General features: G+C 51.5%; 2 pseudogenes, besides 3 other annotated features; one reads left to right on the top strand and one right to left on the bottom strand.

Moving 5' to 3' along the window:
• On the top strand, window positions 4,739-12,907 carry ALG1L3P (ALG1 like 3, pseudogene; annotated as a pseudogene).
• FAM86MP (family with sequence similarity 86 member M, pseudogene) lies at window positions 11,957-22,454 on the bottom strand (annotated as a pseudogene).
• Window positions 12,037-12,096: an enhancer, noted in NCBI's record as "active region_21302". NCBI's record gives its function as "activates an Ori minimal core promoter by ATAC-STARR-seq in GM12878 lymphoblastoid cells {active_cell/tissue: GM12878}" and the evidence as "EXISTENCE:reporter gene assay evidence [ECO:0000049][PMID:35858748]".
• Window positions 22,333-22,842: an enhancer, noted in NCBI's record as "H3K27ac-H3K4me1 hESC enhancer chr4:9694333-9694842 (GRCh37/hg19 assembly coordinates)". NCBI's record gives its function as "activates a minimal SCP1, AML or CMV promoter by ChIP-STARR-seq in primed H9 embryonic stem cells {active_cell/tissue: H9 hESC(primed)}" and the evidence as "EXISTENCE:reporter gene assay evidence [ECO:0000049][PMID:30033119]".
• Window positions 22,843-23,353: an enhancer, noted in NCBI's record as "H3K27ac-H3K4me1 hESC enhancer chr4:9693822-9694332 (GRCh37/hg19 assembly coordinates)". NCBI's record gives its function as "activates a minimal SCP1, AML or CMV promoter by ChIP-STARR-seq in primed H9 embryonic stem cells {active_cell/tissue: H9 hESC(primed)}" and the evidence as "EXISTENCE:reporter gene assay evidence [ECO:0000049][PMID:30033119]".

The following is a 23,575-nucleotide window of genomic DNA, read 5'->3' as shown; positions in this document are numbered from 1 at the left end:
AGGATTGTGAAACAAAATTTTCAAGAGCAGAAATGAAACACCTGTCTACCACAGTGTAGCCCTCAGCAAAACCACAAGTTGGCAGACTCTGACTCTCCCACACCCCTCTGGCTAACCCCAAACCCCTTCTAGATAGAATGTTCTCCTTCCTCTTCATCCTAATGCCAGGAGCAAGTTTGGTGGTGCGTTCCCCACACCTGCGCCCTTTGCCAAAGCTCCAGGTTCCAAAGCCTTTCTTTCTTCTCTTCTGCTTTAAGGCTTGCTTACCCTGAGTTCAAGACCCTTACAGCCTTGTTAGATAAATGGCTACATAAGATGATTGGTTAATCAGAGCGAGTATGGCTGATGATGGCTTCTGCAATATAATGCAATGAACCCGCACCCACCTTCACTGAACGATCAACATTCACTTTGGTGTAATGGGATAAACCATCAGCATGTCCCTCCTGATGCGATGCACAGAGAACATGACACCATTGCTGTGATAATCCCACCTCAAATGCATAAGAATATCACCGCCAAGAAACATCAGCCAAATCCAAAGTAAGGGACAATCTATCAAATAACCATCTTGCGTTCTTCAAGAATGCCAATACCATGAAAGATAAAGAAAAACCGAGGAGCTGTTCCAAGCTAAAAGGGACCTACAGAGACACAGCAACTGAAAATAATGCATGATCTGGGATTATCGTTTGCTCCAATGTACATCATTGGGTTAACTGGCAAAATCTGAATGAGGTCCCTACATTAGAAAACCTTATTGTAGCAGGGTTAGTTTCCTGATTTTGATATTGCCTTGGTTATATAAGACAAAGTCCGTGTTATTAAGGAATACACAGGAATATTTAGGGGTAAAAGATAACTCATCTGCCACTTAGAAAATAATAAAGCAAATGGGGTAAAATGGTAGCACTGGGGAATCTCAGCGAAGGGTATAAATGATGTCTTTGTACTATTCTTGCAACGCTTCTGTGTCTGGAAAAATAATAATAAATATTACATGTTTAATAACTAAATGAATGAAAAAGTGTGCAAGGTTTCTGCAGGTGTCAACCTTGGCGATACAACAGGATCATCTCAGAAGCTCTGCATGAATATCAGTGCCCAGGCCCCAACCCAGAGATTCATAGTCAGTTAGCTGGGGGTGAAACTCCAGACATCGGCACGTGTGAAACACACCCCAAGGTCATTCTAGCGTGAATCCAGAATAATAAGAAGAAAGCTTAGCCTTTAGTGTCATTGGGTGACAGGAAAGTTCTAGGCTGGGGACTTTCTGAGCCCCCCATGTCTGCTTGGTTTGAGATCTGATCTTGGGGGCAGCATGGTGACACAAAACAGGAGTACAGTTGTGGGTCCAGTCTTGGTCCTTCCTCTAATAAGATGGGAGACATTGGGTCAGATCCCTTGCCTGTGCCAAGCCTGGGTTTTCTCAGCTGTGGAATGAGGTTAACCAGGAAGTGCCTCAGAGGCCAATGTGCATTCAAGGAAGAAGATGCCCAGCTCAGATATGGTGTGGCTGTGTCCCCACCCAAATCTCTAATTGTAGTTCCCATAATCACCACATGTTGTGGGAGGGACCTAGTGGGAGGTAACTAAATCATGGGGTGGGTCTTTCTCCTGCTGTTCTCATGACATTGAATAAGTCTCACAAGATCTAATTCTTTTTTTCTTTTTTTGAGACCGAGTCTCACTCTGTTGCCCAGGCTGGAGTGCAGTGGCGTGATCTCAGCTCACTGCAACCTCCACCTCCTGGGTTTAAGCAATTTTCATGCCTCAGCCTCCCGAGAATCTGGGACAACAGGCGTGAGCCATCATACCTGGCTAATTTTTGTATTTTTATTAGAGATGGGGTTTCAACATGTTGGCCAGGCTGGTCTCAAACTCCTGATCTCAGGTGATCCACCCACCTTGGTTTCCCAAAGTGCTGTGATTAGAGATGTGAGTCACTGTTCCCTGCCTGATCTAATGATTTTATAAAGGGGAGCTCCCCTGCACAACTCTCTTGCCTGCTGCCATGTAAGATGTGACTTTTTTCCTCCTCCACCTTCTGCCATAATCATGAGGCCTACTCAGTCATGTGGATCTGTGAGTCCATTAAACCTCTTTTTCTTTATAAATTACACAGTCTCAGGTATGTCTTTATTAGCAGAGTGAGAAAGGACTAATAGAGTAACCCTTAAACCCCCGGACCCCAAAATGGAGTTGCCGCAGGATGGAAGTCTGAAATCCTTGTGATGTCCAGCTGGCAGAAAGGAATTTGGATGAGTAGGGCTGGCCAACTTCTGGTATTGCTGGTGGGTCCTGTCATTGTGTGGGTGACTCCTTGCACCCCTGGCCCTTCATAGGACTAAATTCTGGGAGGGTTCTTGGGAAAGAGGCTAGAGAAGGCAAGAGGACATCAATCTTCTTCCAGGCAGTAGGAAGGCAAGCTGGAGAGGCCAAGCTCCCAAGTAAATGGAGGCACCTCCACTGGCCCCTTTGTGAGGCACGTTTGACCTGGGTTTTACGGAAAGAAAGTGCCCTCACCAAACGGTGCAAAACAAGGCCCCAGGCTCCACACCTGATCCCAGGTGCCCCCCTCTGCCCTGCCCTAGACTCACCTAAAGCTGTACTGCCCAGAGTCATGGCCTCAGGCCACACATGGCTACTGGCCACTTGAGATGTGGCCGTCTCAGTTGAGATATGCTGTTAGTGTAAAATATACACTAGATTTCCAAGCCTTCATAAGCAAAAAGAAAAACATAAAATATCTCATTAAGAATTTTTAAGTATTCATTAATGTTGAAATAATAATATTTTGAATATAGTGGTTAAATAAAGTTTACTAGGAGAATTCATTTCACGCCTTTTACTTTTTCTAATGTGGTGACTAAATTATTTAATATTACACATGTGGATTACATTGTATTTCTATTGGATAGCTCTGTTCTAAAGTCTGCACATTGTCCTTTTGTGGCTTATTTCCTTGATAATTTTATTAAAATTAAATTGGGGGGCCAGGTGCAGTGACTCACATCTGTAATCTCAGCATTTTGGGAGGCTGAGGCAGGTGGGTCACCTGAGGTCAGGAGTTCGAGACCAGCCTGGCCAACATGGTGAAATCCTGTCTCTACTTAAAAATACAAAAATTAGCCGGGCATAGTGGTGCGTAACTATAATCCCAGCTACGCGGGAGGCTGAGGTAGGAGAATCGCTTGAATCCTGGAGGCAGAAGTAGCAGTGAGCCGAAATCACACCACTGCACTCCAGCCTGGGGGACAAGAACGAAAATCCATCTCTAAATAAATAAATAAATAAATAGAAAAACAAAATTGAGGGCCGGGCACGGTGGCTCATGCCTGTAATCCCAGCACTTTGGGAGGCCGAGGCAGGAGGATTACCTGAGGTCAGGAGTTCGAGACCAGCCTGGCCAGCATGGTGAAATCCCGTCTCTACTAAAAATACAAAAATTAGCTGGGCTTTGTGGTGGGTGCCTGAAATCCCAGCTACTCCAGAGGCTGAGGCAGGAGAATCAGTTGAACCCAGGAGGTGAGGTTGCAATGAGCTCAGATTGCACCAAGGCGCTCCAGCCTGGGCGACAGAGTGAGACCCTGTCTCAAAAAATAAAGAAAGAAATAAAAATAAATTGAGGAAGGACTGAGCATGCAAAATAGAATCAGCCTTTGACCCTGAATACCCTGCAGTGAGAATTCCCCTGTGGTTCTCAGGCTTCTGTAATTCCAGCAAATACACTCTTTCCTCAGGTTCACTAAAATGCAGATATTGTGAGATAATGCTCATTTCTCACAGATTGCTTGAATAATAATAATGATCATTACAGTAATTTACAACTTAATAGTCAATACTGCCTTTTTAACCCAGTCTGTGAGACTGAATCGTAAACGTGACATTCTTTGAAGTAAAGCTCTCAATTAATATACCAGACTGCATAAACTCTAATAACTTACCTTTCCATGGAAAGAGAATATGTGGGTATTCTCTTTGAAGACAAATGGTGGAGAGTAGACTCTCATCAAAGACCCTCTGGCAGTAATGAGTTGCATTCGGGAAGGTTCCAGAAGGTTCTGTGGAAGTCTGCAGTTTGGGATTGGTTCTCAGGTGTCTGTCTAACTGCTTTCTAAGGATGAAGACTCCTGGTTCATGCTTCAGCTCCACCCACAGGAGCAACAGACTGACATTCCTCCACATAATAACAGACCCAGGCAGTGCAGAGCCATGTGGGGGGTCTTATCTGTCCTGTTGTCCACAGTCTGGTTTTATCTTAGACCCAGCCTGGTGCAATTCATGTTGTGTATTGGCACTCCACTTAAGTTTCCTGTTTGTAAAAAGCCTCTTTCATTCGGTGATTTCTCAGGGCTTTAGGGGAACTTTCTGGAAAGCAGGAAGAAGGAAATAAAGGTTGTTTTGCTGAGGATGGGTGACATTGGGCGCGGGACCCAAATGAGTGGTTTGAGAAGAAAGTAGCCTTCACGCTGGACTAATGCTTGGCAACATTATGGGAAAATTTGGGGAAGCTGGGAGAGGAGGGGGCAGAGTTTCCTTCCCAGCCAGCCAGGGGGTCCAGGCAGTTTTGGTCCTAGGACATCTCTCTGTGCATTCCCAAGTAATTGCAAGGCTTTTTCTTGTCATCGTCTGAGACTTGGATTCCCCAAGCGTCCTTCTTTTCCTGGAGCCTCTGAGTCCTCTATTCCTGAGGCCTTTCTTCAGCACCCCCAATAGCCCCGCCATGATTTCATTGCAGGGCTGTGACCGTCTACGACAAACCGGCATCTTTCTTTAAAGAGGCACCTCTGGACCTGCAGCACTGGCTCTTCATGAAGCTGGGCAGCACACACTCTCTGTTCAGGGCCCGGTAGGCCTCCCATCCTCAGCTGCCTTCTCTCCTGCTCGCCACTGCCCTGGCCTCTCCCCTTCTCGCTGCAGACCTGGGAAACCACTCATCCAGGGGTTGGCAAACTAAGGCTACAGGCCAGTCTCCTGATTTTGTAAATCAAGTTTCATTGGGACACAACACACTCATTAACTTCTGAGTTGTCTACAGCTGCCTTTGAGCTACAATAGCAGAATCGCGTTTTGCAACAGAGAACCTGTGGCCCGCAAAGCCTGAAGTATTTACTCTCTGGCCCTTTAAGAAATGTTTGTGGACCCCTGCACTGTCTTACTCTCCTGTCAATGGGTTCCCAGATCTGTGGCAGGATCTGTGGACCTGTGTGTCCCCTGGGGTGTCTCATGGGGCTAAGGAGGGGACCTTTGTGCAGGTCCACACACCCTGAGGTGTGCCCCTGGGTAAGCTGGGGTGGTGTGGGAGGGCATCCCTGCACCCTCATCTTGAGTCCAGGGGATGATAAGACAGTAAGTCCCGTGGAGAAAAGGAATGAGTCAGTCTTGTTTGCTGTTGTAATCTTAGCACCCAGCAACAATATTAGAGAAAGCAAGCCCAGGCCTCGGATGGCAGGGGTGGCCTGGTGCTGCTGATGTGGCCAGGCACCCCAACCGCTGGGAGCCTGCAGGCCTCGCCATGGCAGGAGATGCCCGTCCTTGGTCCTGGGCCTGCTCTGTGGCCTCTCACAGGCTTTTTTTCTGCTCTTTCATCTCAGAACCTGAGGATCCAGCCACGGAGCGGTCGGCCTTCATGGAGCAGGATGCTGGGAGCAGGCTGGTGACACGTCTCCATGAGCAGCCAGCCCTGCTGGTCAGCAGCACGAGCTGGACAGGTCTGCAGGACCCCTGGGGCACATGGGTTTGGTGTGACGGGCACCTGGCCAACCTGTGTTCTCCTCACCTCTGCCAGTCCTGCATGCCCCCACCCCGTCACAGTCTCAGTGAGAAGGGGAGGGTGTGTGACCTGGAAGAGAGGTGTCTAGTAACAGGACCCTGACATTCAATTCTCTTCTCATAGAGGATGAAGACTTCTCCATCCTGCTGGAAGCTTTAGAAAGTAGCTGTGTGGCTGCGGTGAGGAGCTCTGGGCTTGTCGGGGGCCACTGAGCTGTGAGCTGCTTGCCTGGCCTGCAGCATGTTCCTGAGCTGGACCACTGGGTGGGGCAGCCTGGGGACAGTGGGGGTGGTGGAGGTGGGCCGCCCTGAATCCCCAGTTGGGTCATTGAGTGACCAGGCCCTCAGGCTGAAATGCCCCCTCCAGGAGAGTATCTCACAGAGGATGGTGGCCTCCCCACCAGAGCAGTGCTCTTTCTCCACCTTACCAGGTGACTCTGGCTATTGTTTATTTAAAAATTTTTTTCTGAATGGGCATGGTGGCTCACACCTGTAATCCTAGAACTCTGGGAGGCTGAGGCAGGCAGATCACCTGAGGTCAGGAGTTCGAGACCAACCTGGCCAACATGGCGAAACCTGTGTCTACTAAAAATACAAAAATTAGCTAGGTATGGTGGTGGGCGCCTGTAGTCCCAGCTACTTGGGAGGCTGATGCATGAGAATTACTTGAACCTGGGAGGCAGAGATTGCAGTGAGCTGAGATCGCACCATTGCATTCCAGCCTGGGTGACAGAGCGAGAGTCTGTCAGAAAAAAAAAAAAAAAAATTCTATCAGAAATTCCATGTAGAATTGTTTCTTTTTTTAAACACAGAGTTTGAACAACTGACTCTTGACGGACACAACCTTCCTTCTCTCGTCTGTGTGATAACAGGTACCGCCTGGGACCCTGGCTTTCTGTTTGGTTGGGGGATGGCGGAGGGGGCGGAGCATGCAGTCTTTACCCTGTGCTTCCCACGATCTTGTCTCCTTAATCCTCACTGCAGCTCTCTGCCATAGGGTCTTATATTGCTTGACATGGGGGAAACTGAGGCTCAGAGGGTTTCACAGCAGGGCAGGGAGCCCAGATTTGAATCTGTAGATACCAAACTTTTTACTTTTTCAGTAGTTTCCAAGCATCTTCTTTTTGTTGTTGTTACGTCATTGGTGTCTTTTTTTTTTTTTTTTTTTTTGAGATAGAGTCTTTGTCGCCCGGGCTGGAGTGCAGTGGTGCGATCTGGGCTCACTGCAAACTCCGCCTCCCACATTCAAGCAATTCTCGTGCCTCAGCCTCCTGAGTAGCTGGGACTACAGGTGACCACCACACCCGGCTAATTTTTGTATTTTTAGTAGAGACAGAGTTTCACCATGTTGGCCAGGCTGGTCTTGAACTCCTGACCTCAGGTGATCCACCCGTCTTGGCCTCCCAATATGCTGGAATTACAGGCATGAACCACTGTGCCCGGCCATGTCATTGGTGCCTTAACCGAGCCTCTTAATTTTTCAAATGGAAGAGCCCCTGTCCCACAGTTACTGCTGCTGAGCCCTTTCAAGGTGACTCAGTGAGGAGGGAGAAAAGCGGAAGCGGTGTGGGAAGAGGCGGGGTCTGGGCCAGCTGCTGGTCCTGCTCTCCTCCTTCTTCTGGCCTCTAGGCTCCCAGGAGTGGTTTGGAACCCGCGCCATGTGCTCTGGAGGCTGTGTCAGGGAAGGGGGAGTCCTCGTGTCCCCTGCGCACAACACAGACAGAAGGCTGGATCCACCCAGTGGGCGGTCGGGTGCCAGGCCAGTGCTTACCCCGCCATGTTTGCAGCCCGAGGCCAGCTGGCTGCAGGTACAGGGCTGTGCGTCAGGGGTCAGCGTGCACACACCCCTGCAGGTCTTGGGGCTCCTGGGTTGCTTCTGGAAGGGCCCGCATGGGGCCTGACTGGAGCTGCCGAGGAGTGGAGCTTCTGGGAAAGGGATCCCTCCTAGGGGGGAGTGTCTTGGGCCTGGGGCCACGTGGCAGGGACAGAGACGGGTCCATGGCAGTGTCTCCTCTTCTCTGTGAAGGCAAACGGCCTCTGAGGGAGTATTACAGCTGCCTCATCCACCAGAAGCATTTCCAGCATATCCAGGTCTGCACCCCCTGGCTGGAGGCCGAGGACTACCCCCTGCTTCTAGGTGAGAGGCCAGCAGGAGGCTCAGGGAGGAGGCGGGGCCTTAAGCAGGGGGAACGGGGTGGGCGGGATGTGCTTTTTCTGAAAAGGTGGCTCTGGAGGCCACTTGGGCACGGGACCTTGGCTCTGGCTGAACTCCCAGGAGGAGGCTACTTCCTGGTGTGCCAGCCCCTCCCTGCCAGTTGGCCCCAGAGGCCGTTTACCAAGGCGTTTGAGGAGGCCACGTCCTTTCAGCCTGCCACGCCCTCCATTCAGTCCTCTTCCTTCCTGCAGGAGGGCTGGGCCTGGGGTTGGGGCCACTGTTGCCCAGGTGTGGGAGGGCAGTGGCTTTGGGAGGTACAAGGATGATGTGTCAAACAGCGTCGCCTCTCCCAGTGAGATGGTTCTCCTTTGCCTCCGTCTCTTTCCCCATTGATTCCTCCAAGTGGGGAGTCGTGTCTTGGTCCTGATGCGTCTCTAGAGCTGCATCTTCCGGCTTTGAGTGAGCAGAGCAGTTGGAGGCTGAGGGCCTTTTCCTGGCAGGACTCTCCAGCTAGTCTTTGTTTTAGACAGTCTCGCTGCATTGCCTAGGCTGGAGTGCACGATCTCAGTTCATGCAACCTCTGCCTCCTGGGTTCAAGTGATTCTCCCACCTCAGCCTCCTGAGTAGATTACAGGATTACAGGAGCCCACCACAACACCTGGCTTATTTTTGTATTTTTAGTAGAAACAGGGTTTCACCGTGTTGGCCAGGCTGGTCTTGAACTCCTGACCTTAAGTGATCCTCCTGCCTTGGCCTCCCTAAGTGCTGGGATTCCAGGCATGACCCATCATGCCTGGCCCCAGCTAGTCTTTAGAAATGTTAAGCTATATGGCTTTATTTTCACAGTGACAGCTGGTTTGTGGTGGGTGTGCTGTGGTTTATTATTATTATTAGTATTAGTATTAGTATTAGTATTATTAGTATTTTGAGATGGAGTTTCACTCTTGTAGCCCAGGCTGGAGTGCAATGGCATGATCTTGTCTCACTGCAACCTCTGCCTTCCCAGGTTCAAGCGATTCTCCTGCCTCAGCCTCCTGAGTAGCTGGGATTGGAGGCACCTGCCACGACGCTTCGCTAATTTTGTATTTTTTTAGTAGAGATGGGGTTTCACCATATTGGCCAGGCTGGTCTTGAACTCCTGACCTCAGGTGATCCACCCGCCTTGGCCTCCCAAAATGCTGGGATTACAGGTGGGAGGTGAACTTGGGAGGTGGAGGTTGCAGTGAGCTGAGATTGTGCCACTGCACTCCAGCCTGGGTGACAGAGTGAGACTCTGTCTCAAAACAAGACAAAACAAAACAACAACAACAAAACCAAATTGTGGTTATGTAGAAAAAGTGTCAACTTATGTTTTCAGATGTCCCAGCCAGGCCGTGTGGCTGCTTGGCCAGCTTAAGCCACTTGTGCTTGGTGATATTGGGGGCCTTATGAGATTTTCACTCCCCTCCGGGGATGTTCCCTCACTGTGCTGGGAGGATTTGTGTTCCCAAGGCAGAGACCAGCGCTCTGACCGCACCCCTCTTGCCTAGCATGGTCGGTGGACCTGGGTGTCTGTCTGCACATGTCCTCCAGTGGCCTGGACCTGCCCATGAAGGTGGTGGACATGTTCGGGTGCTGTTTGCCTGTGTGTGCCATGAACTTCAAGTGGTAGGAGCAGAACCCGAATCTTTCTGGGGATAGCTTCACAAATCCACCGCTGAGGGGGAAGCAGTGCAGAGCGAGATGCCCACAGTGAGGCCCTGTCCCTCGGTCAGTCCAGCACACACTGGAGGCCAGGAGGAGGAGCCCTGCATTTGCTGTGGCTGGGCTGAGCCTCATTGAAGTAGTTGCTTCCATTTAGAGCTCATGTTATATTTAGGTTGGTGCAAAAGTAATCACGGTTTTTGCCATTAAAAATGACAATTACTTTTGCACCAACCTAATATGAAAAAAAAAGCATCTTAAATACTAGAACTCCACTCGGGGCTTTTGCTCCTGGAGTAGAATTGGCGGGAATTGCCTGCAGGCTTACATGGTTTTCTTTGTTGTTTTCTCTCCCACCATGTCCCTTTTGGCCAAGCTTACGTGGTGGGTTTGAATCAGTTGAATGAGTGTCATGCTGTGGCCTCACTCCACCCAGCATAGACGGGTGTTTGGAAGGGTGGCACTAGAGGAGATTCTAGAAGCAGTAGCCTCAGCACAAGTTGAGCCCTTGGCCCCTGCTCAGGAGCCGGCCCCTGGATGGGATTCAGGGATGTGAGCCCCTCGTGTGATCTGAGCTCAGGGAATGTCAGGATCAAACCTGGTGCCCTAGAAAAGTCATCTTTTATGTGCTGAGCCAGTCTCCAGGGGGTTGCCTTTACTTATTCCATGGCCATGGAATTAAGAAAAACATGCAAAAATAATTCTTCAGTCCTTGAAGAGCATGCAGCACAGAAGGTACAAACCCTCCTTAAGGCTCCCTCCTCAAATCGCTTTGGCCATTTTGATGTGCACCAGCGCCCCCCCCAGGCCTTTGTACCCTCAGATGCCAAGTCTAAGAACCAGCTCCTGGAAACCACACCCCCCTGTTCCAACCCCCAGCCTGGCTTGAGCGTGGGGTGGGTGGGAGCCCTGGTGGGCACCACAGCGGTCTGGTATCTTCTCCAGGCAGCTCTCAGGCTCCCTTGGTTCTCTCTGCAGTTTACATGAGCTGGTGAAACATGAAGAAAACGGCCTGGTCCTTGAGGACTCAGAGGAACTGGCAGCTCAGCTGCAGGTAGCCACGTCTGCCACCACGCCCGGGTGGGCAGGGTTCTGGAGACTGGCACCGAGCCACGCTCCCTGATCCCTGCTTCTCACAGCCAGGGTGGGACCATGTGGGGTCTGGTGGAAAAGCTAGGGAGGGAGCAGAGGTCACAGATGCTGGCCCTCTCTGCTGCCCAGTTTTGGTACAGTAGGCTCGGGAAAGTTAGGACACACCCCCTCCTGCCCTCTGGATTTATGGAGCTGACACTCCACAAATGATGCTGGAGCCGGGTGGGTCGGGCTGCAGTTTAGGAAGTGATCAGGATCAGGTAGGTGTGTAGGTAAAGGGAGCTTCTGGGACCAGCCTTGAAAGATGGGCGGAATTCTGCAAAGGTTACTTGTTTCTTATTGCTAAAAGTAATACATCATTCTTGCCAACAGAGTGACTGGGAGGATTTTCAGTAAAGGTCCAGGTCGGAAGTCATTTAGACTGGGTGCCCCAGTCTCTGTCACAACCATGGTACTCTGTTGTGGTGTGAAAGTAGCCACAGATCGTCTGTAGATTAAGGGGTGTGGTTTTGTTCCAATAAAACTTTATTTAGAAACACAGGCTGTGGGCTGGATTTGGCCTGCAGGCTGTAGTTTGTGATCCTTGATTCAGACAGTTTAGCAAGGCTGAAAAGAACACCGACAGCCACTCATTACCCACAGATGGGTGGGACTGTGTTGGCCAGAGGCCGAGAGGAGGGTGCTCACAGGGGAACGTACAGCATGTAGAGGCCGGAAGGTGCTCCAGGGCACCAAGTGTGGGAAAGTGGGACATACAGGTAAGTTTCCAGGGGAAGTTTCCGGAAAGCATAATGTCAAGTTGGAGGCGGAGCACTGCTGGGGCGTGAAGGGTCTTGAGTTCAAGTGAGGGAGTTAGGGGCTTGGGAGGGGTTGTTATTGGGTCGGGGACCTGGGGTCATCCAGGTGGTGACCTGGGATGGGGTTGGGACAGGCAATGAGGTAAGCTCTGCTCTTTATTTTTTTGCAGATGCTTTTCTCAAACTTTCCTGACCCTGAGGGCAAGCTAAACCAGTTCCGGAAGAACCTGCGGGAGTCGCAGAAGCTCCGATGGGATGAGAGCTGGGTGCAGACTGTGCTCCCTTTGGTTATGGACACAGAACTCCTGGGCCAGAGGCTAAAACCCCAGGGCCCCTGCTGTCCTTCCCGCAGCTTCTTCTCGGAGTCTCAGGGCAAATCCTTTCGAGTAGCGCCTCCCAGTGGCCAGAAGCTGATATGACGGCAGTGGTGCCGCCTGGTGAATGAATTGGTTCTGTGACCGGGGAAGCTGTGGTTGGCCCTGATTTCTTCTCTGGAGGCTCAGAAACGCTTCCTGTCTTCTTCTGTTCTTCACGCCCCATGCTCCTGCTAGAGTATTACTGTTCTGTGACTTCCCTGTGACCTCTGCAGTACTCCTTAGCCTGCGTTTGGTCTCCAGGTGCCACCTTTCTGCCGTGTTCCTAACATGTTGATTCCTGTCTTGAAAAAAGCACCTGCTGCACCATAAGCCCAGGGATGTGACAGCTGCAGCGGGCTTGGCTTTGTGAGGAACCGAGTGTGTCCACGTTGGGGGAACATCATACTTGATACACACGTTTTTATTTGCACAAAGAAATTGCTATTTTCGGAGCCAGAATTTTCATGTCTGATTTATGGTGATTTTCTTAAGAACCAGAACTGCTGGCAGAAAGGGGGCACCCACACGCTTAGATAGCCGATGTCTTATTAGAGGGCACTTTGTGGTTCCTGATTTGGAAATTAACACTCTCCAAACATTCCAGTCCAATGAAAGTTTTATCCGCTTTCCCATATAAAAATTCTTCCCACGAGAGTGACTTGATTCTCACGATCCTGTTGGAGTCGTGTGTGAGTCCTACAGTGTGAGGTTCAGCATTGCCATCTCCAAGTGCTCTCCTTAGGGAAACAGTTTCTGGTCATGATGAGCTTCCGCTTCCCATGTGATCCTGGCCCGGCCTGGAAACAGAACACGTGTTTGAGGATGGCGGTGTTTGGGGACAGGACATGAGCATTTTGTGTGGGGCTGCTAGGACAGGCCTGGCGGGGTGGGGGGTGTCCAAGTCAGTTTACTTGGTTCACAGGTTCCCAGGCCCACCCAGGTGCCTAGAATTGGCCTCCAGGATGGGACAAGAAATCTGGTTTTGCATAGAAATGGCTAGCAGCAGGCACCGTGCTGCTGTCCACTCTCTGCCTGCGTCCATCCTAGCACTTGGCACAGCGGGACAGAAGCAGAGATCTGAACCCACATCTACCTGGCTGCTCAGTCAACCCACTCTTCACAAAGCTTAGAAAGCCGCCGGGTACAGTGGCTTACGCCTGTAATCCCAACACTTTGGGAGGCCGAGGCGGGCGGATCACTTGAGGTCAGGAGTTCGAGACCAGCCTGGCCAACATGGTGAAACCCCATCTCTACAAAAATACAAAAATTAGCCAGGCATCATGGTGGGTGCCTGTAATCCCAGCTACTTGGGAGGCTGTGGTGGGAGAATTGCTTGAACCCAGGAGGCGGAGGTTGCAGTGAGCTGAGATTGTGCCACTGCACTCAACCGTGAGTGACAGAGTGAGACTCCATCTCAAAACAAACAAACAAACAAACAAAAAAAAAACCGCACACACCACACACACACACACACAAAGCTTAGAAGGGGCTGGTGTTCTCAGAAGCACAGATGTCTGAAGAGCCGTTAGCCAGAATGATTCTTTTTTTTTTTTTTTTGAGATACGATCTTGTTCTGTCACCCAGGCTGGAGTGCAGTGGCACAGTCATTGCTCACCACAGCCTCGACTCCTGGGCTCTAGCAATCCTCCCACTTCCTGAGTAGCTGGCATGACAGGTGCATGCCACCATGCCAGTAATTTTTTTGTTTTGTAGAGATGGGGTCCTGAACGCATGGCCTCAAGTGATGCTCCTGCCTCAGCCTCTTTTATTATTTTTTTTTAGACGGAGTTTTACTCTGTGCCCCAGGCTGGAGTGCAGTGGCGAAATCTCAGCTCACTGCAACGCCTCCCAGGTTCAAGTGATTCTCCTTCCTCAGCCTCCCGGGTAGCTGGGATTATAGGCGTGCACCACCATGCCTGGCTAATTTTTGTGTTTTTAGTAGAGATGGGGTTTCACCGTGTTGGCCAGGCTGGTCTTGAACTCTTGACCTCAAGTGATCCACTCACCTCAGCCTCCCAAAGCCTCAGCCTCTTACAGTGTTGGGATTACAGGTGTGAGACACTGTGACCTCGGATGATTTTCAATCACAGTTTTTTGTTACAAGTGGAAAATGCGTATTTTTAAAAATGAAGTAGAACAGACATGAACGTGTAGAAGTCTCTATAATCCTGCCAATGGCACCTGTTCACGTGTATATCAGGGATATACAATATTTTGGCCTCCATGGGCCACGTTGAAAGAAGAAGAATCGCCTTAGGCCACACATAAAATACACTAATGCTAGCGATAGCTGGTGAGCTAAAAGAAAAAAAATCACACAAACTCCTCATACTGTTCTAAGAAAGTTTACAGATTTGTGTTGGGCCGCAGGTTGGACAAGCCTGCTGTATATATATTCTAGGTTTTCCCCTATAGGTATACTTATGTGAAAATGATGATTGTGATAATTTTTTTTTGAGATGAAGTCTTGCTATGTTGCTCAAGGTGGCCACAAACTCCTGGGCTTAAGCCATCCTCCTGTCTCAGCCTCCTGAGTAGTTGGGAATATAGGTACTCAAAACCATGTGTGGGTGATTATTATTAGTTTTTAAACAAAAATGGGTCGGGGCGCAGTAGCTCACACCTGTAATCCTAACACTTTGGGAGGCTGAGGCAGCAGATCACTTGAGGTCAGGAGTTCAAGACCAGCCTGGCCAACATGGCGAAACCTCAACTCTACAAAAAATACAAAAATTAGCCAGGCGTGGTAGCACGCGCCTGTAGTCCCAGCTACCCAGGAGGCTGAGATGGGAGAATAGCTTGAACCTGGGAGTTGCGAGGTTGCAGTGGGCTGAGATGGCACCACTGCACTCCAGCCTGGGCAATGCGAAACCAGACTCTGTCTCAAAAAAAAAAAAAAAAAAAAGGTTGGTAGGGGCTTATGCTATGTGTGCTGTTTGGCACTTTTTTCACTTAAAAGATATTGCAGGTATTTTTTCATGTAAGTATCTGAAGAAAGACTTCCTGTTTTTTTTTTTGTTTTTTTTTGTTGTTTTTTTTTTTTTGCCTTTTTGAGACAGGGTCTTGCTCTGTTGCCTAGGCTGGAGTGCAGTGGTGAGATGAGGGCTCACTGCAGCCTCCACCTCCTGGGCTCAAGCCATCCTCCTACCTCAGCCTCCTGAGTAGCTGGGACTACAGGTGTGCGCAACCACACCTGGCTAGTTTCTGTATGTTTTGTGGAGATGGGGTCCCACTATGTTGCACAGGTTGGTCTTGAACTCCTGGCGTCAAGAAGTCCTCCTGCCTTAGCCTCCTAAAGTGCTGGGATGACAGGCCTGAGCCCCGCGCCCAGCCAGCCTCCTGTGCGACGTTTTGCGGGACTCTGTCGTGGAACCCAGTATGCCTTCGTGTGCTGGCTTGTTTGTTGGCTCTGTAGTTAACGGGCTGCCCCACGTGGGCAGGCATTGGATCATCCGTGTCTCTGTGTGCAGGCAGAGGCTGCTGCAGGTGCATCTGTGCACATGGCTCCCAGGAGGGGCTGTGCTCAGGGGGAGCTGGAGCAGAGGCTGATGGCATTGGGGGGCTTGGGTGTAGTGTGGAGGCATGAGAGCCAGGTGGCCGGGCTGCAGTCTGCGGGAGTTCAGGGGTCGCTTGGCCTCTGTGTGTCCTAGTGTCTTTGTCAGTGAGATGGGACAAAGACAGCACACCCTCACAGGTGCTGGGGGCTGACAAATGTCAGGTCTGAGGACAGTTGCTGGCACACTACGGGGCCAGTTCCCCTTCTTTACAGTCATCCTGCTCGTCTTCCATCGACTGGGTGCTCAGGACAGTGGCATGGTGGATCCGCCTGTATAGCCTGTGCTCCAGCATCCTGCAGGCCACAGCTGTGTCCAGCCCTGAACCCGACTGCCTCTCCTGCCACCTCCATTTTATAGATGAGGAAACCGAGGCCCAAGGGCTTAGGGAACCCTGCTCTGAAGCACACAGTAGGGCTGCTGGGCTCAGACCTTCCCTCCCTGGGCTGAGCTGCCCTCCTGCTGCCGCAAGCCCTCCATGCCCCAAGCCCACCCTGCTCACTGTCCTCTGCCCGAGTTCCCCGCATGGTGTGGGAGTGTGGGGCATCCTAGCTTTTCCCCGGTGCCCAATTCTTTCACTTCCAATGGAGTCCTGCAGGGACAGCTCGGGGACCATGCAGGCGCAGGTGGACATGGAGGCTCACCTAGCTCGGTGGTGAACAGCTGGCACGTCTCTGGGTTGCGGACAGTGAAGGCCACATAGACCTCAGGAGCCCGCTGGTGCTCCCGGCAGGCAGCCAGCCTCCACAGGACCCTGACCAGCGACACAATGGCTTCTGGGCAATACAGCACGTCTACGGTGAAAGCTTCAGGTTACTGAATGGGACCAGCGGACAGTTCCAGGTCATGCTGTCCTCAGCAGCAGGGCGAGGCCAGAGAGGCAGCGGTCATATGAGATTGGTAGATGCCATTTGACCATTTGTGCCATTAGATGGAAAGGCAATTACTTGGTGAAAAAGGAGAACCCTTAGTAGAGCAAGCTGCAAAAGACCGAAGCAAAAGAAAAAAATCTCCAGACTCACTGGTGTTCCTTAGAAAAACAGCTCTGGTTCTCGGCCTATCTAGAGGGCTTCGAATGACACAAAGCCTGACCCTGCCATGAACTTCGTGTTTCAGGCATCTGCCGATTGGTCTGCTGGCTTGCAGGCGTGGACCTGTGTCCCTGGCCACCGCTGGACCTGTGGTTTTCAGGGCGGGGCCCAGGACCACAGGCAGAGCTCTGCTTGACCAGAGACCCCTCTCTGGTCTCTAGGGTGACCAGAGACACCTTAGGGACTGAGTGTGCTGGCAGGGGTGAGGGGTTTTTGGTGGCCCAGCCAAACACCACCTTCTCTCAAGAGCCCTGTCCTTGTCCCAGAAGTGGTTGTTTTCCTCCTGTGGTCTCTGAAGGACACAGGGCATGGCTCTGGGACAGAGCCATGTGGTGACAACTGTAACAGGAGTATGCCTGTCTCCAACAAGAGGGCTGTGGCTTGAAGGTCACCTTAAGAGGCACCCCTGTCCTTTGATGTCACCCTGGAGGCCCAGAGTAACTCTTCTGGAAGCCCCATCATGTCCATGCCCGACAGCGTCCATTGTTCCCTTTTCCCAGAGCCAAGAGCTGGGTAGAGCTGCAAGGACACTGCCTGCACAGGATGCCCGGGGCTGGGCATTACCTGCTGCAATGACAACATCTGGCTGGAAGGCAGAGAGCTGATGGACCGTCGCGACGTCCCAGTCCAGCTGGGCCAATGTCACCCTGGGGCTGTCTAAGTTGGAAGTGATGTCTGCCTCTAATGAGAGGCCATTGAGGACATTCCCTCGGAGCTGCTCGAGGACCCGGCTGTGACAGTCGCTGAAGATGTATGCCCGGGGGCGGCACATCTTGCAGATGGCCAGGCCTGTGAGGCTGGCACCACTGCCAAGCTCTAAGACAGTCCTGGCGGGAGGAAAGGGGACCGTGTCTGTGACTGCACCAAGGTAAGCCTGCCCTGCACCCCGAGGCCACCTGTGAGTGAAGGCTGCTGGGTTCTCGGCCCATTCTGCAAGGTAGAGGGCAGTGTCCCATGTGACCAGGCCTGTGGTGCCGTGGGAGATGATGGCCGTACTCTCGGAGAGTGTGACGGAGCCTCCCGAGGGCTGCACCAAGAGAGGGCGGGAGAGTCAGTCCAGCAATCAGAAGACAAGTGGCATAGAAGATAAGTAGCCATCCACCACATGGCTGAATAAACCATGACAGGACCAATCGCCACTCAGCAATCAGAAGCAGCTAACTGTTCACATCCCAACAGCTTGCATGGGCCTCCGGTGTCACGTGGCATGAAAGACACTCATCTCAGGCCACACAGGAGTCCACTCATCCAACATTCCTGAGACGACAGAATTCTGGTGATGGAGCACAGGTCAGCGGTGGCCAGGGCCTGGGTGTGGCTATGAAGGGGTGACTGCCTTGTGATGTTTCAATATGCTATGTTTTTCCTTTGTGGTTTTCTGTATCTATGTTTTATCTTATTTTTTTTGAGCTTTGTCACCCAGGCTGGAGTCAGTGGCACGATCTTGGCTCACTGCAACCTCCACCTCCTGGGTTCAAGCAATTCCCCTGCCTCAGCTGCCCAAGTAGCTGTGACTACAGGCATGTGTCACCATGTCCGGCTAATTTTTGTACTTTTTTTGAGACAGACTTTCATTCTCGTTGCCCAGGCCAGAGTGCAATGGCGCAATCTCGGCTCACTACAACCTCCACCTCCCGGGTTCAAGAGATTCTCCTGCCTCAGCTTCCTGAGTAGCTGGGATTACAGGCGCCCAATGCCACACCCTGCTAATTTTTGTATTTTTAGTAAAGATGGAGTTTCACCATGTTGGCCAGGCTGGTCTCAAACTCCTGACCTCAGGTGATCCACCCGCCTCAGCCTCCCAAAGTGCTGGGATTACAGGCATGAGCCACCACGCCCAGCCTAATTTTTGTATTTTTAGTAGAGACAGGGTTTCACCATATTGGCCAGGCTGGTCTCGAACTCCTGACCTCAGATCCACCAGCCTCGGCCTCCCAAAGTGCTGGGATTACAGGCGTGAGCCACCGCGCCTGGCCCTGTCAAGTATTCTTTGAGGACTGGGCACCAGGTCCTTGTGCAGCAGGTAGTGTGTGTTACCTATTGGACAACTGCCCAACAACCCCACGAGACATGCTGTTGTTGTTGAAGTGCTTGATTTACAGACAGGGAAACTGAGGCCAAAGAAGGTTAACAGACCTCATGTCTAAGACTGCAGCATGGGTGAGTCAGGACTTGAACCCACACCCACGTTTTCACTTTGTCTGTGCAGGAAGGGTATCTGGGCTGTGAGGGGGAGGAGGGTGCCCTTCTCATACCAGCAAATAGCTCCAGTGGCCCTGGGTGGACCCCTTGGCCATCAGGGTCTCTGCCAGCACCTTGTACAGCTCGTCCAAAGGCTCCGTGTGGACAGCCTCGTGCTGGGGGCAGACAGAGTAAGAGCTTGTTTGCTTTCCTTCTAATCTGTAAAAATGGCCAGATGATTTTCACCAAGCTTGGAGGGGAGATTTGGGATGGAATGGTGTAATACCGGCCAGTTGGCATATAAAATATTCACTTCGTTGGGCGTGGTGGTGTGTGCTGAATAGTCCCAGCTACTCTAGAGGCTGACATGGGAGGACTGCTTGAGCCCAGGAGTTCGAGGACAGCCTGGGCAACAGAGATCTTGTCTCTAAAAAAATAATTCACTTGATAGGGAAACCTGGATGGGAGGGCCTTCAACAAGAGGTGTTGAGAGGGTAGGGTTAGGTGTAGTCTAGTGCAGGAGACAAGGATTCCGTGAGAGCTGCCACATAACCATGACAGAGAGGAGGAAAACAAAAGGTGCTTTTAAGTGAGCCCAGGCAGAACTGCGAGGGCGGCCCATGCTGCAGGCTGTGGCTGTCAGCAGGCTGCTTCTCCACAGCTGGCCCCGTCCTAAGATTCACAGGGCAGCAGCAGGGTACACTGGGTGACTGCTGCCCTCTCTTGGTGGCACAGGGCAGACCTGCTGGTGACCACAGATGCACCCTTTTGGGGAGGACTAGGGAGAAAGCAGGTATTGGAGAAGCAGGGGATTGTTTATTTGCTAAAAGTGTGGCCCTTTCACTCAGCAGGTCTGCTACTGCCTACTAAGGAATGGCCTCTCGACATCCTCACGTCAAACCCTGCATGTTCGGGCCCATCTTTAAAATCCATCCTAGGCCAGGTGCGGTGGCTCATGCCTGTAATCCCAGCACTTTGGGAGGCCGAGGCAGGCGGATCACCTGAGGTCAGGAGTTCGAGACCAGCCTGGCCAACATGGTGAAACTCTGTCTCTACTAAAAATACAAAAACTAGCCAGGCATGGTGGCGTTTGCCTGTAGTTTCAGCTTCTTAGGAGGCTAGGCACGAGAATCGCTTGAACCAAGGAGGCAGAGGTTTCAGTGAGCCGAGATTGTGCCACGATAATCCAGCCTGGGCAACACAGTGAGACTGTGTCTCAAAAAAATAAATAAATAAGTAAAAAATAAAATCCATCCTATATCAGTCAGGAAAGAGCTCATTCCAGCAGGATCAATGCGGAGAATTCACCAGAGGAACTAGTTCCAAAGGTATGGCAAGAGGAAAAACTTCCAACAGGGGCCCGTGGGGCAACCGAGAGACGGAAAAGAGCAGGAAACTCCAAACCCTTTGGCGGGCAGGACAGAGGGTGTGGGTGAGGGTTCCAGTGCTGTGGGCTGGGCCAGCCTGGTAGGAATGAGAATCCATATGCTAGAAACTGGGGCCCCAGAGAAGCAGCTGCTGCGGAAACCCCAGGAGGCAGAGTGAGGGAGAGACGCTGGCCTCCCCTTCTTCCCGCCCTGCACTGTTTCCCATGGGTCACACACAGCTGCAGCCAGTTGCCTGGGGAGGCCCCTGCCATGCTGGGGTTTGCAAAGCAGGCCCAGGGCCTGGGAAGGACAGGGTGTGCAGCATGCAGGTGGCTATGCTGTCCGGCTACTGGGTGGACACTGCCCATAACTGACCTTTTTGATGAGTTCTGAGAGAAAGCACCAGGCATACTTGACTGACGGCGGGTGCTTCACACACACAGGATACTTCACAGTCTACAGCAAAGGACAGAACGTTGGTTGCTCGAGAGCCCATCTTAAGTCTCCTATGAGCTTCAAGCCAACACAGCAGAGGGCAAACTCCAGGCTACCCAATCCCTCAGCAAAGATGAAGATGGACACAGCGTTCTGGCCCCACGCATCTGCAGTTTGTCTTAAGATATAAGCCGTTTCCTAAAAATGCTTCCACTGCAGTGGCACAGGCTATGGCAGCATTTCTAATGCCCATTCTGAGCAGGAACACAGGGCATGTGGGCCCAAACCACCTCCCTCCCAGGGGAGCCAGTGTGAACCAGGGTTTGCAGTAAGGACAGTCGCCAACTGTCTGGCTCTATGGAAGAGGCAGGAAGGCCCACTCGGCAACTGCTCTCTTGGAGCATGTGTCCCTGGGGACAGGATGGAGGGGAGGTGACACTCCAACTAAAGCCAAGAGAAGCCAAGTGCAGGACGAGCAAGTTCCAGGCAGTGGGAACAGCCGGTGCAAGCTCTGAGGTGGCCACAGCCTGGCACTTGGAAATGAGGGCAGAGGGAATTGTGCAGCAGGAGGGGGGACGGTGGGAAAACAAGAGCCTGGAGGGAGAGGGAGGAGACGGTCCGCAGTGCCTGCTGGCTGGGAGGGATGCAGATTCTGCCCAAGGGCAGCAAAGTACCCCACGCAATATACAGGCTCTTCAGGCTGGTGCTGGTTTTTCATTTATTCTGACACAGAGTCTCGCTCTGTTGCCCAGGCTGGAGTGCAGTGGCCCGATCTTGGCTCACTGCAGCCTCCACCTCCCAGGTTCAAGCAATTCTCCTGCCTCAGCCTCCCGAGTAACTGGGACTATAGGCGTGCACCACCACGCCCAGCTATTTTTTGTATTTTTAGTAGAGATGGGTTTTTGCTATGTTGGCTAGGCCGGTCTTGAACTCCTGACCTTAGGTGTTCCGTCCACCTCAGCTTCCCAAAGTCCTGAGATTACAGGTGTGAGCCAGTGCATCCAGCCTTTTGCTGGATTTTAAAGCAGCTCTCCCTACATTTCATGCTTCACCACCTACGAGAGTGAGGCTCAGGGTGAAACTCAGAGTAGGGTGCAAGATAACTTCAGGTATCTCCCTGCTTGAAGCCCTGTCCTACTGTATTGCCCTGAAAGTCTTCCCTGCTGTGGCTGCATCTTTTCCACGTGGATAATCTTGGTTCACCTCTAGCACAGGAATTCTTCACTGGGGCTCCTAGGATGGGCTGGGTGGGTGGGGGTGGAGGATGTCTGCCTCCCCTGAGTTTGTATGGAAAACGTATTCTTCTGGTGCACTTCTTTCTGGGAGGGAGTCTGTTGCTTTGTCTTTTCTGAAGGGCTCATGGCCCTTTGAAGGTGAAGACCCAGGATGCAGGGTGATCTGCACTTGGCCCTCAAGGCCAAGGTCAGGCTGTGGCTGGGCCGGGTGGTGATCCTGCCTCTCACCTTCATGCAGATGCACTTGAGTGCAAACCCCACCCTGGGCAAAGCAAGGGCCCATTTAGGTCTAGAATAGACAGGAGTGGACAGGACAGGCCTCATAAATGAAAAAAGAAACTCTCTGAGCATCTACCAAATGCTAGAAGCTGTTTTGCACCTGTCATCTCTGTTTCTGCTGTGGATGGTTTAAAAAACATTCCCTAGATTCCCCCCTCTTATGCAGATTTTTGTATATACTGATGTCTTTGTCTAAGTCTTAGATAGAAAACAAAAGTGCTGGAGCTATCGGAGGTGCTGACACCCACCTGCAGTGCTGACTCAATGTTTTTGTTCTTTGAACAGGGGTGTTTTTAAAGGGTACAAGCACATCTGTGGTTCTTCTCTCAGGTCTTCCGGAGAGATTCAGGAGGCAGGGTCATGAGTCCCAGGGACTCTGGGACTCTTACCTTCTGCAAAATATCCCACAGAAGCTCAGAATCTGATGAGTCTCTTAACTTTGCTTCTAAGCTCTATGTGGAGGGAAGAGAGAGAAATCTCAAGGGTGCATTCACAGGAACATTAAACGTGCAATAGAATGTGTTGGCAAAGCGCTATGTGATCTCTCCTTGGGGACGTGGAGCCAGTTGGAAGTGGAAGCCACAGCAGCTGAAAGCCTGACCTTCAAATGTTGCAGGTGCACCTGGATGAGTCACAGGAAGAAGGCTAGAAGACTGACTCTTGGCCACATTAGTCTTGGCTACTTAGCTGCCACCCAGGTCATGGGCCAGCTCCCTGGTTGCACTGGTCAGCCAGGAATTACCAGGGCAGCCATGGCACCAAGGTTTGATGGGCTTGCCATCTGAGTTTAAGTGGAAATGCAGAATGTGCCCATACCAGCCTGGGTTACATTGTCCTCTTACAGGGGCCTCAAGCCCAGCAGCGAGCTTTGGCTCCCGAGTTAGGCAGACTGTCTCGGCTGGTATGTGACACGGGGCAAGGCACTTCATTGCTTCAGAGCTCCTTCCATGCCGTAAAAGGCCCTACAAGACCTGGTCCTAATCCCTCTCTCTGGCCTGTTCTCCCTCACCTCTTGCCCACCCTGCTCACTCCACTCCAGCCACACTGGCTGCCTTGCTGTTGTTCCTCAACCACAGCTGGCTTGTTTCCACCACAGGGACTTTGCATATCCTGTTCCCCAAGCCCTTCCCATGGCTAGCTGCTTCACCACTCAGGCCCCAGTTCAAATGCCACCTCTTTGGGGAAGGCTTCCCTGATTCCCCGACTTTGGTGACTCTTCTCCCCAGTTACTCCATTCACCATTTCCCTGTTTTATTGGCTTTAAAGCTACTCTCATCTGGTCTTTTCTTGTTTATTCATTTATTTGTTTGTTCTCTGGCTCTCCCATGCAAGCAGAGCCTCATCTGTCATGGGTACTGCTGATCCATGGTGCCGGGCTCACGAAAGGCATTTATTAAACATTTTCAGACCGAATAAAAACAGTAGCTAACACCGACATGCATTTACCATGAGCCAGGCACTGATCCACAGGCTTTTGTACTCAACTCTGACAACAACCCTAAGAGGTAGCTATCATTATATCCCCCATTTTATTAAGAAGAAAACAATAGCACAGAGAAGGGCTCAGGAGGCGGG

This window comes from Homo sapiens, chromosome 4 (assembly GCF_000001405.40).
Source record: "Homo sapiens chromosome 4, GRCh38.p14 Primary Assembly".
In the NCBI taxonomy this organism is placed as follows: domain Eukaryota; kingdom Metazoa; phylum Chordata; class Mammalia; order Primates; family Hominidae; genus Homo; species Homo sapiens.
The sequence above is the reverse complement of the archived record's forward strand: the minus strand, read 5'-3'. Positions and strand labels throughout refer to the sequence as shown.